General features: G+C 42.6%; 1 protein-coding gene across 2 annotated transcripts in view, besides 1 other annotated feature; it reads left to right on the top strand.

Moving 5' to 3' along the window:
• The window catches only part of MCC (MCC regulator of Wnt signaling pathway), a 466,348-nt gene that overhangs the window by 358,666 nt on the left and 90,937 nt on the right, over positions 1-16,745 (top strand). For both annotated transcript variants that reach the window (NM_001085377.2, NM_002387.3), the window contains one exon: positions 6,962-7,104. In NM_001085377.2, the coding sequence (NP_001078846.2) occupies positions 6,962-7,104 (143 nt within the window). The remainder of the gene's footprint in view (positions 1-6,961; positions 7,105-16,745) is intronic.
• Positions 10,284-10,791: an enhancer, noted in NCBI's record as "H3K4me1 hESC enhancer chr5:112454694-112455201 (GRCh37/hg19 assembly coordinates)". NCBI's record gives its function as "activates a minimal SCP1, AML or CMV promoter by ChIP-STARR-seq in primed H9 embryonic stem cells {active_cell/tissue: H9 hESC(primed)}" and the evidence as "EXISTENCE:reporter gene assay evidence [ECO:0000049][PMID:30033119]".

The following is a 16,745-nucleotide window of genomic DNA, read 5'->3' as shown; positions in this document are numbered from 1 at the left end:
TATCTTGTTGTGTTTTTGATTTGCATTTCTTTAATGACCAGTGATGATGAGCTTTCTTTCAAATGTTTGTTGGCTGCATAAATGTCTTCTTTTGAAAAGTGTCTGTTCATATCCTTTGCCCACTTTTTGATGGGGTTGTTTTTTGGTGTATTGCCTTTTAAGAAGAGACATAAGACGGCTTGCATGTATATTCTCTTCCTCCCAGCCATATGGGGACACAGGGAAAAGTCAGCCATCTGGAAGCCAGGAAGAGCCCTCACCAGAAAGCAGCCATGCTGGACCTTGATCTTGGAGGATCTAGGCTCCAGAACTGTGAGAAAATAAATTTCTGTTGTTTAAGCCACCCTGTCTATGGTATCTTTTCATGGCAGCCTGAGCTGACTGAAACACCTTTCTTGAAAATCACCAATGATTTCTTAAATGAAAAATCCAGTGACTTTTTTTGTCATTGGTCTCTTTCTATGGCATTTGACCCTAGGCCCTCTTTCCTTCCTGACGGCACTCTTCTTAAACCTCTAGGACCCTGCAGACAGTTGATCTTCTCTTCCCTCCACCAAGTTTGTCCTCAGCCTGGGCTCCTATCCTAAACTCTCTCTCTCACACCTTTAACCTCATACAGCAGCAGCCCCAAGGCACAGACCCCTCCTATCTCTGTGATCTCAGGATTGGCACTCAACCCTTCTGCTTACTGGGTCTGCTACAAAATGCCCCCTCATTTGAGGACAGAGAGAGAAAACATCCCAGAGTCTCTATCTACTGTAATATAATCTGACCACTAAGATTTCAGGCCTGCACTAGGAGCTTGATGTTTCTCCTGATCTTTGGGCACACAGTTACCTGTGTGTTGTTGGTATCACGTACATCTTGGTATACATGCAGCCAACAAAACACACAGGCATCTGTTCATCTTCATGTTGTTGCATTTCAAAAACTGTAACCAAAACCTCCTTGTCTGCCAGCAAAACATGTTGTTCTGATTAATTTACAGTCTAAAAAGTATAATGCAATGAAATAAAAATAAAACCCAGAAAGAAGAGTGTTTCTCTCTCCCTGTTTTCCTGTGTGGTCTGTATCAATCTCTTTTTTAATATTTGGAAGTTCTTGAATATGGATCTTATATGAGCTCTTGTTAAGACAAAAATGGATTGTTATATTCATAGGAGAGCATTTCAAAATCCCATTTGTTCAATTATTCACCAAAAGATTCATAGATGAGTCTGATCTTCTCTATGCTATCTGAAAAAATAAGAGGAGATAGTATTGAAGAAAGAACGAGGACTTTATTCATCACTTATTTCCTGTATGTAATAGATTCTTTCAGAGAACTAAAAGGAATACATTTCCTTCCAATAGCTTTAAAACAAAAAACAAAAAACTTTGTTCTTTAAAAGAAAGCCAGCCATTTAAAGGCAAGTCTACTCTTAATTTAAGAAAGAATGCAGTTCGCCCAAAAAACACCAGGTCAAGTAGGGTGGATTAGTTGGCCACAGCTGACTGACAGCTTGACAGCTGTCAAAGCAGGCAGATGACCATCTGGCTCTTCTCCACAAATCATTCCAATCCAATGGAAGGCATGAATGTGCACCCAAAATGAGATAGATAATGTGGATAGTTAGTGACATGACAGTCTATCAAATGCTGTTGACTCCATAGTACTTTCAGCTTGAAGTCTAGATAGCATAGTAAGAATTATACTTCCATTGACTTTTCCCTCTTCTGATTAAATTATTTTACCCCTAACCAATAATGAGAAGGAATCTTTAATAAACAATGAAATATCTTTTCCTTCAGTCATGACATTACAGTTGACCCTCAAACAATGTGAGGATTATGGGAGACAACCTAGGCAATTTCATTCTGCATGGAGGCAAGGGCAAGGATTTCATGACAAAGACACCAAAAGCAATAGCAACAAAGCAAAAATTGACAAATGGGTTCTAATGAAGCTTAAGAGCTTCTGCATAGCAAAAGAAACTATCAACAGAGTAAACAGACAACTTACACAATGGGAGAAAATATTTGCAAACTATGCATCAAACAAAGGTCTTTCCAGCATCTATAAGGAACTTAAACAAATTTACAAGAGAAAAACAACCCCATTAAAAGGCGGGCAAAGGACATGAACAGACATTTTTCAAAAGATATACATGCAGCCAACAAGCATATGAAAAAAAGCTCAATATTGCTGCTCATTAGAGAAATGGAAATCAAAACCACAGTGACACACCATCTCACACCAGTCAGAATGGCTACTATTAAAAAGTCAAAAAATAACAGATGCTGGTGAGGTTGCAGAGAAAAGGGAATACTTACACACTGTTGGTGGGAGTGTAAATGAGTTCAGTCATTGTGGGAAACAGTATGGCAATTCCTCAAAGAGCTAAAAGCAGAACTAGCATTCAGCCCGGCAATCACATTACTGGGTATATACCAAGAGGAACATAAAGCATTCTACTATAAAGACACATGCATGCAAACGTTCATTGCAGCACTGTTCACAATAGCAAAGACATGGAATCAACCTAAATGCCCATCAGTGACAGATTAGATAAAGAAAATGTGGTACGTATATACCATGGAATACTATGCAGCCATAAAAAATACAAGCTCATGTCTTGTGGGAAGATGGATGGAGCCAGAGGCTATTAACCTTAGCAAACTAATGCAGGAGTAGAAAACTGAATACTGTGTGTGGGAGCTAAATGATAACAAATGGACACAAAGAGGGGAACAACAGACATTGGGGCCTACTTGCGGGTGGATGGTGGGAGGAGGGAGAGGAACAGAAAATATAACCATTGGGTATTGGGCTGGGTGATGAAATAATCTGTACAACAAACCCCCCAAGACACGAGTTTACCTGCGTAACAAACCCTCACATGTACTCATGAACCTAAAATAAGAGTTTAAAAAACCCCAACAATATGAGGGATAGTGGCACCAACCCCTACACTGTGCAGTTAAAAATCCACACATAGCTCATGACTCACCAAAAACTTAACTACTAATAGTCTACTGTTGACTTGAAGCCTTACGGATAACATAAGCAGTCAATTAACACATAGACTAGTATCTATTAGGTTGTGTGAAAGCAGTTGCGGTTTTTTCCATTACTTTCAAAAGCAAAACTGCAATTACTTTTGCATCAACCTAATGTATATATTTCATGCATTTATGACATACCTTAAAAAAAGTTTGTTTTTGTATTTCTAGGCTATACGATTCATCTGAGTTTTTTTCAAGTTGTCACAAATTTCCAGAAAATTGTCAAATATATTTATGGAAAGAAAATTTGCATATAAATGGATTCATGCAGCTCAAATACATGTTGTTCAAAGGTCAAGTACATATTGTCTCATTGGTATGAAATTTAGGAATTAGGCTGTGCTAGTGGTTGCATAATCTTAGGTAAGTTGCCTCTCGAAGCCCCATTTATCTTGTTTGTAAAATAAAGGTAGTGGTCCTGGCTAAAACAGTCTTTAAAATCCCTTCCAGTCTGCCAGCCTGTGATTTTTCTGCCACTGCTGGTCATTACATAGGCAAGTGTACAATCTAATGCCTGTCTCCTGAGGAACATTTGTTATGTTGTTGTTTAAGCTAGGAGCAAACATTAATGGTTGCATCTCTTAAAGCAACTTGGAAGCACTTCGCAGATGCTTCTACATGAATGAAAGAATATGCATTTGGAATCCTGTGAGTTGACCCTTTATGTTCCAAGGAGAAACACCTGAGAACTTTGTCATTCCATTATTATAAACCTACCACTACAGAGTGTCACTTTCAACATTTATCAGTTTATCAGAGGTGCTATTTTTCTGGTTTTAAATGGACACTTTTTTTCCATGTTTTTACATTTTCCTCTTCTTCATCACCAGCAATAGCAGTTGGTGTTTTTTTGGGAGGCATTTTTTCCCCAAAGAAATAAGTTATTGCTTGAGAAGAATGCCTGTATATACAACAAACAGAAGTCATCTTGAGATGCTGTTGTGCTGTGTCATTAGCCTCACCAGGCATCCTCTAGGCTGTGCAGAGCCACTGCAGAAGCACAACTCAAAATCTTGTCTTTATAAAACTGCCAGGGACTCTTGGTGTTTTTTACTTACTCCATAGCTCTTGATGGAACAATACTCCTGATGCAGTCTGCCACGCATACTGCAATCATAAATCGAGTTAGTTTACAGAGGACCCTCTGAGAATTGCTTTTGTCATTTCCCGGTCCCAGGTTCCAGCCCCCTTTCAGGAATGATGCCAATGAGAGATAAGGATATGCAGCTCCATGATTTTTTTACCAAAGTCAGTGGGAGACACAACAGGGTGCATGAACTTTCTAATATTTAAGCTCAGTTTAACATTTTTATACCTCACTCTTTGTGGCACAAAATCTTCCCTGTTCTCGCAAGGTAGCTTTCCACCTCTGATGACTATTTACTTTGTTGCCATGTGTCGTTTTTGTTCTAGAATACTTATAATGATTACCATAGCTGGAATGCATTTCTCTTCTTCTCATTTTATCTGTTTCCACACAAGATCTTGGCAACATTTACTCCTTCCTCTGAATTCCTAGACTTTCCACATTGTATTTTTATTTCTTCCATCTAACCCTGATTATTTGCATCCTCCGGTGCAATATATTTTCCTTTTGCTCACACTGCCTAGTCAACAAGTAGTATGAGTGCCTCTCCAGCCTCATGTTTCCATCCTGTGCCATATTTTGGTTTCAGTCATAGTGAACCACTTGCTCCCCTCCAAGTTCTGCACGTTCCCAGCTCCTCTGAGCCTTTGCCTGTGCTATTCCACACTTGTGACGTAACTGAAATTAGGTCCTAACTGATCTTGAGCGCTGCTCCACCCAGGAGGTCTTCTTTGGTCACTCCCCACTGGCAGCCCCAGATATTCCACCAGTGTTCACCCACAGCATCCTTCTTGTGAACATCTTTGTCTCCTTGAAGACAGAATCTGTGCAGTCTTTGTGTTCCTATCTTTGTTTTGGTGCTCAAATACATTGAATGGGAATTTTTAGTTTGCATTTTGTGACACAGAAAACCTACTGCTTAATGTGGTATGGTTCTCCTTCAGACTGTGCTCTGACCTCAGTAGGGAATGTTTCTGCAATAACAGCTTCCCTTTCCCATACTTTCCCAATTCACTGCTTTATAAAGTTCATCCTAGTAATCTCTAGAAGTAATTTTGTACAAAGCAGGAGATTTGGCAGGAAATATATGTTTTCGAATCTGCCAAGCCAGGTTTAAGGTGGCTATTAAAGATTTTACAAATGCCATTTATACCAAAGAAACAGCAGCAGCATTTATCACTTGCTTTCTTGGCTGCAAAAAAGTCTCGGCTGAGCCAAAGCTGATTACGTTGGCCATGCAACAAAGGTAATTTATTCATCATACACAAAATCTCCCTTAACTAAAATCAGAATTTTAAGTGCTGACTGAAAGGAGAGCTAATGTATCTATCAGTGCACAATCATCCTGTAGACCAAAAAGGCACTTAAGAGTGCTTTTTAATCATTTTCTTTCCTAAACCTAATTATTGTTGACTTTTGCAGATGTCTAATAATTAACTTATTCATAGAACATTAGCCTGTATTTTTTGTCTTCACCACTCTCTAATTCATATTTTCCATGTCATGGGGCTTTATATCTACATAAAGCTTTCCCAGTTTTCTGGGTAGGTTTTATTAACAATACCTTATAAAGCACGGGCTCAGCTGAATCCCTTTCCTGGGAGAAATTTGATATCTTAAGAGAACCAAGATTTCTGTTCTTCACATTTCTCTGATTTATAGATGTGTCTCCCGCTTGCCTCCCTAAACCCTAATGATCGCCACTCATCATTTTGGTCCACCCAGAATCCAACACTGTAGACTTTCTTCTCCTCTGGTTGTTGACAACTTAAAATGAATGCCAGGCTGAGATTTCTCTGATTCCTAGCTTTCTTCACAGACAACCTGCCCTTGAAGCTGAGCAGACCCAAGTGGGCATTCCACTCCCAGTTAAATCCCCTGACAGTTCCCCCTACTGGTTCACTTGCAAAATAGATCCTTCAAAGACGGTTCATTTTGCTGTCTCCATACCTGTGTCCAGTGTATGTGTGGTGATGGTGGTGGTGTGGGAAGGGGACAGTACACGTGCTCTGAAATACACACTGCAATTCTAAGTTTCTCAGCTTGCTAATAGTACAGTGAAGAGACCAGAGGTTGAGGGACCTCTGAAGGGCTGAGAAGAGGTAGATGTGTGTATACAAATAAAACACAGTGGGGTTTAAATGTTGTCTTCCTGTTAGCAAGTGTAAATTAAAGGAAATAGACCATTGAATGGTGTTCTCTCATTCAGTGTTCTGTTTTCTCCTCATTGCATCCTCTCTTCCTACCCCCTAGTTCTACCTACTTTCTTTGGGAAGTTAGCCTAGTCTTTCTTATACATGCTGATCCATATACCTTTCAAAAAAGTCTAGTTTGATCTGCACAGATGAGGTGCTGGTTTCCCAATAGCTCTAACCCCATCTCCAACCTCCAGCCTCCTTCAAGAAGGAAGCCCCTGTGGGCCCCTCCAGATTGTAGGGCATGCTGTTGCTGTGCGCTAGACTCTTAGTTATTTGGTTCACAGCAGCCTCAGTGCTAGTAGCCTTAGTTCTTATTCTCCTCGGAATTTGAGGAGGCGAAGAAATCTAGTTTCTTCAGGAATCTTTAAAGGGGAAGAGTTTCTGCAGGCTGATAGATGAATCTCGTTTGGTACATGGGTATGTTTTGTGGACACAGAGGCAACCTTTCAGCTTCACTCACTGAGCATAGATGTGACTATCTATTTCGCCTGGGAGAAATCCTGGTCCCTGTGGCCTGGGGGAGAAATCTGTTTTCTCTCTCAATGTCTTTTTCTTGTCCTTAAAAGACATATTCTCTAGGGGGTTGTCTTATATCCTCTGTTAGTGGTTGCCAATTCTCCTTTTTTCTCAGGGAGGAAGATGAGTACTCAGAACTGCGATCAGAACTCAGCCAGAGCCAACACGAGGTCAACGAGGACTCTCGAAGCATGGACCAAGACCAGACCTCTGTCTCTATCCCCGAAAACCAGTCTACCATGGTTACTGCTGACATGGGTGAGTCTGCCTGCCCTTGCCACCAAGCCAGAGTTTGGTTTCTGGATTGTAATAGAAATTTTAGAAATGTGAGGCAGCCTGAATTAAAATTTAATTTTTCAAGGGGTTTGCTGAGTGGATGAAGTCACATGTATTTCAGTCCCTTACACATTACTTTGTTGGTCAAAATGGAACTGAAGCTTTCTGCTCTGATACAATTGTGATTCAAACATAAGTCACTTCTATTTGAAAATTCTGGAAGTAGGGAACCAGTTTAAAAGGCTATTGCAGTATTCCAAATTACAGTAATATCTGAACTATGATGGTGGGAAGGGAAGGGATGGGATGGGGGCCAACACATTGCAGTGGAAGAATCCCAATAGGTTTTAACAACTACTTGGATTGGGCAAGAAGGAGGAATCCAAAATGACTCCAATGTGTTGTTCCTAAGTGACTAAGAGAATGATCATATATTCCTTAGGAAGTTGTGTTGAGAAGTGAGTTGGGAAATAGTCATATTATGTTTGAGGTTGTAGAGAAATATCCATGTGTAAATATCTGGTATGATGTATTTTAAACTGCAGGGTGTGACCTACTGTTGGGTCTTGAAATTACATGAAAAAGTATTTTTAAATGAAGGCTAATAGGAAAGCAAGTGACAGTATTGTTTCATGAAATTTGTTTCTTGCATCCTTGTAGGCAGTAAGTTGCCAAATGAATGTTCTAACTGGGTTGCAGTCAAAATGTTACAAAACTACTGGTCTTGCCTACCTGGATATTTGGAAAGAGATCGAGGTTGAGGGAAGAGGCTTTGAAGTTATCTGAGCTAAGGTGATCCCTGTGGTTGAAGGGTGTGGAGTCAAAAGAGGGAGGAGCAGCATATCTTAGGACAGACATGTTTACATGTATGGGAGAGATGGAAGAAGAACCAGGAGAAAGAAGAGTTGCATATAGTCAGTTTTCTTGAGTTTTATAATGAGTTTTTCTTGGAAGTTAAAATTTTGTTGGGGAGAGGGATTTTAATCAAATATTACATATTTGGGTTTAATTAAAATCCTATAAGTGCTACAACATTATGGAACACAGTACTATGAGAGTGTATCCAAAGAAATTTGATTCAGTCTAGGGTTACAAGAAGGCTTCCTCTAGGAAGGCGTTTGACCTCAGAGCTGGAGGATCAGTAGGAATTAAGCAGGTCAAGGAAGAGAATAGCATCCAGTGAGGGAGAGGAATGCATTTAAGGAGGTGACTGAAGATCCTCATGGATGGAGGACACAGAGGTGTGAGAGGGGGACTGGAGAGGTAGGCAGGAACTAGGCCATGCAGAGTCTTACAGGCCATGACAGAGACCATGTTTGGCCTTTACCCAAAGATCCACAAGAAGCTACTGAAAGATTTTTTAATAGTGGGGGAAGAGAATGAGATAATCAGATTTGCATTTTGAATCAATCACTGTAGTGTGGAGAAAGAATCCATAGATGAAGAATGAGTTGGGGAGGCTAGCTTGGAAACTATTGCAGAACTCTAGATGGGCAAAATTGTTGCTCAGATTAGGGTGGTGGCAGCTGAGATTTAATAAAGATGTAAAATTGGCAAGATTTGCTGAAGGATTGGAAACCGATTGAAGGTGGGGGGTGTGTATGCCCCATAAGAGTTTGTTTGTACAACAGATGGATAACAGGGCCATTCGCCAATAGGGCACATAGGAAGTAGGACCAGGTGGTTTTGCTTTGAGTTTTGTTTTGCTTGGGGCAGGAACTATATGATAGGTGGAGATCGTGTTTTGTTTGCCCATGGGTTTATAGTGTCTTGAAGTATTTGAGCGGAGGTGCTTCAGAAGGCAGTAGGCATTCAGATAAAACACCAAGAGGAGAGACCTGGGCTGAAGAAAAGCAGCTGGGAGACATCAGGGTGTTTGCAGATGATAACTGTTGACTCTGTCATTGCCCCATTTGTATCTTACTATCACGTTGACATTTTAAATTATGTAATAGTATTTATTTGCTTGACTGATTCTCCCACTAAATTCCACTAGGCGGAAGCATGTTTGTTTCATCTCCTAGTATATCTTCAGAGATTATCACAGGGCCTGGCACATAACATGTGTTTAAAGATAGTAGTGGGAATGAATGAATGAGGTAATAAACCAATCCACCAGTCAGCCAGCCAAAGATGAAGGAATAAAATGAGGAGAGTGGTATTCTGGAAGCCAGTGGGGCAGAGGAGGCTCTAATAAGGAAGGAGCGATCAGTAGTCTGGATTGCATCTAAGGCCAAATAAAATACATCAAAGCCATTGAGAGCTGTATGTTGGTACAGCTTAAGCCAGGCAGAATTATGTTGAGGAGTGAAGACACTTCCCCCAACTAAACTGAACCCAGTCCCCGGGCTTTATGTTACAATACACACAACTCCCTGCAACCAGACCATGCATATGCCAAGTTCATACCAGCATGCTAAGTTCATACCAACATGCTAAGTTCATAAGGGCATCATAAATCTCTAACCCTGGCAGCCCCAAGCTTCAGGACTCTGTCTTCTGCCTTAGCCAGACAGATTTAAACAGCCTAGAAATTGCTTATCATTGTAGAATGTGAGCCCTATACTGATCCCGCCATTCACTTCTCTCAAATTGTATTTTATGGAATTAATAAATGACCTGTACTCCAACAAAGTTCCATAATTAAATAAGTTTGGGAAGTGCAAGGATAAACACATTTACATGGATGTCTTTCCTGTGGGGCTTCTTGGACCTCCTGACTTGAGGTGGCGTCTGTTGCACTGGTCCTCACACAGAAGGCAGTGTCCACCTATCTGCGCCATGGGGCATCCTCATTTTCCCAAACCATTCTTTTCATTCCGTCCCTCATTTAAAAATACATGGGTTAATTATAACTGGTGGTAGCCTCTTTCCTGAGAAGACTGAGTTCCTGGAGGGGAGTGACCTTCCCTGCCCAGTGTTGACACATGTTCTCTGCCCACACATAGAAGCTTTTTTTTTTTCATTTAGTCAGCAAACTCACTTGGGGCTGTGCTAGGTACTGGGGATGAAAGACAGAATCTGCTGTCAGGTCATTGTGCTCCCACCCTCAAATCCTTCAAGCCTAGAGTGACTTCTAGCTTCCTCAGCACGCAGCCAACAGGGCGGTCCCTGCTTCTGGCCGCCTCCTTGGCCATTTGTCCTGTTTTTCTTCCAGCTGCAGCCACTCTGGCCTCCTGGCTTGCTGTTCCTCCAGCCTGAGCTGCTTCTCCTGCCCGGGGCTCTGTGCTGGCTGTTCCTTCCGCCTGGAGCCCTCCTTCCTCGGCAGCTGTCTCCACCAAGGCCCCCCGCCCTCCCCTCTAGAGTCATGCCTCATCCCTCACTCTCAGGCAGCCACTTGCTTCCCTTTCCCTGCTTCATTTTCTTTCATAACATGGAGCACTCCCTGAGGATGGATTGTGTTTGTGCTCATTTCCTTGTGTGTTATCAAGCTTTATCTGGCTGTCATGCCAGAGTGCAGGCTCCACGCGGGCAGGGACTTCACCTGCCTAATTTACCAGCATAGCAGTTCCTGCACGTAGGAGATACTCAAATACTTGAGCAGCAGTGAAAGAACCCCATCCCAAAGCTCACAGTTGTTTGGAGGATGCAGACAGGTCCACAGGGAAGACCTCACAGTGCAGTTAGGACTCCATAGCAGGCCTGCAGTGGCCCTGGTGATAACCTCGGGGAGGAGCATGGAAGAATGCTTGCCAGAGGTCACAGCCGAGCAGGAATCTGGGAACTGAGTGGGGTCGGAGCCCATGAGGAGGAGGGTGCACCGGGCAGGGGCAGCTCTGCCAGATCCCCCAGGAGGACAAACACTTGGGCACAACAAGGAGGAGTTCATTAAAGCTGCTCACACAGTGCCGTCAGTGTGTTTGTTCATCGGAACTGGCTGTCTCCCTCTTCTTATTCCTTCGCCATTTTCCAATTAAATTTTTTCAACAGGAAAAAAGCTTCCATATGTAAGCACCATTATAGGAAATCATTTAAAAGTAGCCATTTCATTATAGTTGCTATATTTGCAAACCTGCATTAGCAACCCAGAGGTTTTCTTGAGCTGCAGAATTTGCTGCAGTGTATTTGCCGATCTCCAAAGATAACAGGACTAAGTCCAGCCTATCAGCTTCATCAAAAAGCACTTTTCTTTTGTTTTCATAACCACCCATCAGAGTCCAGCTGCCCCTTCAGTAGGCTGGTTCCTGGACACTGTCTTCCAAGCCTGGAGGAATAAACGATCCAATTAAAAAGTGCTTTGACTTACTAAGCAGTCAAATAAAGGAGAAAGGTGCCAGCCTCTGTCACACTGCATGTTTTTTTTAAAAAAATTACCTCTTATCAAACCTCGTCACACATTGTTCAGAAAATAAAGGTAATTAAGTGGACAAAGCCAAGGTAGGAGTTATTGCTTAGAATTTTTATGTCCTCCATCTGGCAAAGGCTCGCCGTTAAAAGAGAGGGTGGGTATACCAACTAACATGCTTTGCTCACTTACCCTGTGTCAAGCATTTACATGCATCCCTCATGTTTAATCCCCAACCTGGAAGGATGCCCTGGAGGTCTCTTCATCTGTAAAATCAGGATAATGAAGTTTGGAGAGGGTAAGTCACTTGTCCAAGGCCACACAGCCAAGAAGTTGTTTTTGTTGTTGCCGCCTGTGTTTCTATAGATGGCTTTCCTTTGATACTCCTCGGTTTAAACAGGAAGACATGCCAGTGGTTGATGTCATTTGCTTACTGCAGTCCTTTGAGGTCTCTAGGGCTGATGGGGGAATTAGGGAGCAGCTGTGTGATCACAAGCACCTGGCTTAATAGTGAAGCATTTGCAATCAGATTTTGCGGCCCTTCATATTAAAATAGAAACAACACTCTTGGACCCAATGATTCTGGGTATTGCAATAGAGCAGAGCACAGATGTGTGCACACAGACTCATTGCATCCTGCATGTTACAGCATGTTTGCTGTCCTTTCCTGTGGACCATTTTCCCCACCTCTGTTAACGCAACAGCAGTGCTTTTCTGGAGCAACTGTTTCCAAAACAAACAAAATCCCTGATGGTATGGGCCTTTGCACAGCCAGTGAAGCATTCTGTTATTTTGAGATCTCTTCTGATTTTGGGTGAGAAATTTTTATTTTTCTGGAATTTAGCAATATCAAACTATTATACCCTCAAGGTTGAAATATCAAACCATTATACCCTGAGGGTTGAGGTTTATACCCTTAGGGTTGAAATCTACTCTTATACCCGCAAGGTGTCCTATGCATAGAATACCTTGCTTTCTGGTGTGATCACTTAGATTTTTCCTCTGTGTGAATAGGTTTTGGAGGACAACCAAGGAAGAATTTCCACATGAAACCTGGTTTTTTGGTGCGGTTGTGACTGTGAAATATGTTTGATGCTAAAGCCAGATTCTCCTGGCTTACTGGCTGATGAGGCTTAATGGCTTCAGGAAAAAATGTTTACAAGTGTCAAGCAGCCACTCAGAGTGAGGAGAGAGGGTCGGGGCAGGGAAAGGCAGCCCTGCCTCTGCCAAAAACAGTTTTTGCAGACCTGGAGAAATGTGTTTACACAGGTAAGGCAAGCTGTCTGGAGAATACTCACTTTTTGCTAGGAATGAGGTGGCTAGATAGTCAGTGATCCTCTAGTCCACAGACTGAAAGGGTTAGACCGGACTGAAAGTTGTACTCTAACTAGTTCATGTAACAGGCCAAGCCCTTTGTTACCTTTTTCTTTTCTTTATGTGGGCAACTTAATTTCTCTGGAGAGGGTCACAATAGGGATCATCCCTGAGAACCAGTTAACAGTTTGAACATTGATTCACTGGAGCACTCTCTGGGGTGACTGTGTGTTTTCTCCTAGGGATCTGAGCCTGGTCAAATAAGACCTGTCTGCAAATGGTAGCAGAGCTAAGTGACTGAGGAGAACCCCCTGAAGTCATTCCAGAATCTTCCTTAGAGTAACCAGGGTTGAGAGCAGGAAAGGTTATTGTTCTACTTCAGTTTGTGTTACTTTGGAATATTTTCCCCAAATTCTGCTGTTCCATAACTTTTCAGTCCCCAAAAGAGACTTGGGGTATAAGATGGAAATGGAAAGGCATTAATCTACAGCATTTACTCAAAATGAGCTCCCACAATTCTTGGGATTCATGAACTTCTCTTCTATTAATAGCATAAACAGTCTTTATTTTCTAAATAGACCATGTCTTTTAAGGTTGATTTGGTTTTGGTTATTTGAAATTCATGACATAATTTTTCTTAAAACCAGCATTATAATAAAGGAGTGTTAGCTCCTGAAACCAGCCTTGGAAAGCCTGTGTAATCTGTCATGGAAATAACTTCGGGACCTTGCTAGTGTTGTTACCGCATCCCCAGCCATCATTGTGAACATTGCTGCTATGAGAAAATATTTTGCAGATCACATATGGATGCCAGAACCACATCTTCCCCCTCCTCCTGGTGGCGTGGAAATCCTCTCACTCCTGTTAGCATGAGGGTCACAGGGCCTGGGATGAGTGCTAATGGAGGATCCACTGTTTGCTGTCAAGGGCAGGAGACAGCCTATCTAAAGGGGATCTGGAGCTGCCGCAGGTGACCCAGGCACTAAGAAAGGGCCATTTGGACTGGAGGTTAGTGAGCCTGGGGGAGAGTGGGCAGAAGTGAGGCCTGAGAGCTGGGCTGTGGTCAGTGATGACAGAGAGCCATGGAGGCACAGTGAAGGGGTTGGAATTTATCCTCTAAACATACTTGTAACTATTTCTTCAAGATTACTTCTCAAAGGTATTGAATGATTAAGTCTTTTCTTGTATATTGTCAGTTGCTGTCCCTTCTCTACCCCAAAGATTTCCTCTCATCCTCTTCAAAACTGGGTATCATTCTTATTTTAAAGCTGTGCCAATTCAGGTGATCAATAGTCAAATAAGTAAAATGATTATACGTAGATTTGAACTTCTTTTCACATATGTGTGAAACAGAACTTTTCTGGCAGAAAAGTTCTGGCAGAAACCACTGACGGAACTTTTCTGCCACCGAGGCTGGAGGTGGATGACTAGGAGTTATGTGGGGGTGCGTAACAGAGCAGAGCAGGGGATCCTAGATGGGCACCAAGGTCAGTAGAGGCTCGCAGTCCTGGAGGACAGCTCCCTGGAGTTGATGTTAGGTTATCTTCCTTATCCCTTCATATTTATGACCAAGTTTGTTGTTTCACAGAAACAAATTGTGTCAGAAATCTAAAGTGACAACAGTGAAAATGAAAACAAATCCCCAGCTGGTAAGATTTTACTAAAATAGAAGTCCTGAAAATGCAGCCTCGATTGCTTTGAGAAAAGAAACAGAGATCTATAGTCAGAATGTGGTGGGGTGGCGTCTTTCGCTTCTCAGGTCACCCACCCTGACTTTGAAATAGGAAATTTTTCTTGACCCCTTCTCAGGCCTCGTGACAGGGGTGCCTCGCTTACTCAGGCTGCAGCTCTCAACCCCTCAAGGGAGGAGGAGCACACAGGTGAGTGTGTGCAGGGGCCGGAACAAGTGCTTTTGAGCACCAGCAGGAGCAAAACTCCGTGATGGCCCCACAGTAGCGTCTCAGGGGGGAGGATCTGTGACCCCCAAAGCCCCAGAGGGCATGTGTTACAGTGCTCTTTTTGCTTTGCTGTTCGTGGACAGCTTAAGTGTTAAGCAGCTCAGTGGGCCCTCTGCCTTTTCATGTGAGGCAGTTGCTCTCCACCACTGAAGGCAGAGGGTCAGTGTGGCACCCTTTAGCATCTGCGCCCATGGCACCCAAACTCTTGTTTGGCATCCAGGAAAAATCAGGTCGTATGAAGAATTGAAGGGTGGTGAATACAGAGGATTTTATTGCCAATAAAAGTGGCTCTCAGCAGGAAGGGGAGCTAGAAGGGGGATGGAACGGGAAGGTAATCTTCCCCTGGATTCTGGCTGTCCCCAGCCAGACTCCTCTCCGAAGCAACGGTGTCAAGCCATCGCTCTGAAGTCAAGCTGCTGCTCTCTGACATCAAACCACAGTTTCTGACATCCAGCTGCTTCTCCTCTTCTTCCCTTCTCTGCTCTCTGCCAGTGGGGTCAGAGTTTTTATGGGTATAGGATGGGGGGCGGGGTAGGCCATGGGTGATTTTTGAAAAGGCAGCATTTCAGTGGGGAAAAAAGGTTGCATGTTCTCACTTTGGGCCATGGTTATAGGCTTCAGGGTGGGGCTTCGCCAGGGACCTTGCCCTTTTCTGCCTAGAATTTCTCTGCCTCCTGTCCCTGTCAACTTGTGCCTGTGTACTTGGTGATCATTTGGATGTGGAAGACACACTTACAGGAGAGCTCTCCAGTTCTGGTGGCTGCACTGAGAATCAGTCATCTTGCGCTCTCCGTGTTAAATCTCCACTGCAGCATATCCAGACCTTGTGAGACCTTCTTGCCTAGAATGTTGAAGTATGTGTTTTCTCAACTTTTTATTTTAAAAATCTTCAAACTTACAGAAAAGGTAAAACAAACCTCCATAAACCACTCATCTTAATCAACCAATTGTTAACATTTCGCCACATTTTGATTTTTTTCTCTCTCTTGCTCCCATTTGTGTTTGTGTATACGTTTTTTTCTAAGCCATTTAAAAGTTGCAGATGCCATGATGCTTCACCCCCTAAAGGCATATGTGTAAACCTTTTAAGAAGGAACCTTCTCCTATAATAAACACAGTACCTTCATCACACCTGAGAATTTTACCACTGATGAAGCATTGACAGTCCACAATCCATATTCAAATTTCCCCAATTGTCCTATTAATGTCTTTGGTTGCTTTTGTTTAGTCCCAGATCCAGTCAAGGCTCACACATTATATTTAGTTTTCATGTCTTTTGACTCTCCTTTAATCTAGAACAGATCCTCCCTCCTGCTGTTTTGTCTCTTGTGACATTGCCATTTTGAGGACGTCAGGTTAGTGTTATCAGGTTAGTGGTATCATAGAATGTCCCTCAATCTGATGATCTGATTGTTTTCTTACAAGACTTGAGGTTAGCTTTTTTTTTTTTTTTTTTTGCAAGAACATATGTGGGTTATGGTCCTCATTACCATGTTGCAGCGGGAGGTTCCTAATGTCAGTTTGTCCATTATAGGTGATACTGAGGAGTTTTTAAACTACCACAACATTGTTCTCATAAGTCCTCTTGTCTTAGGTAGACAGAGGCAACATGGGACACAAAGCAAGGGGTAACCTCTGTGGATACTCTTTCTCCCTTCCTCCCAGACCCTTCAGTCTTCTCTTTGGTGTTCAACCCTAAAAGTTGACTATTCTGTTTTCTAATTTTCTATGTTACTTTGTTCGGTTTGTGTTTGTTCCTCGATGGAATTAAAGAGGGCCTTGCTGTATGCAGAGTACAGAGGAATGCTCAAAAGAAAGCAACAGCCCTCCTGGTTTCAGCCGTAGAGCTACAACGAGATCTGAACTATTACATCCCTGGGATATAACATCTTGCCTTTACAGAAAGTCTGTGTTGAGGCTGAAAGAATCTGTAGGTCTTTCTCCCACTTTGAATTGCTTTACCAGGCATGGTGTGTGCCCAGTCAGAAAAGAAGGGTGGGTGGTGTGCGCTGGCCCTCAGAAGGTGGCAGGGATATGGTGAATGGCCAGTCCTGCTATAGCCCACA

This window comes from Homo sapiens, chromosome 5 (assembly GCF_000001405.40).
Source record: "Homo sapiens chromosome 5, GRCh38.p14 Primary Assembly".
NCBI lineage: Eukaryota > Metazoa > Chordata > Mammalia > Primates > Hominidae > Homo > Homo sapiens.
This window is presented reverse-complemented; position numbering and strand designations above follow the sequence as displayed.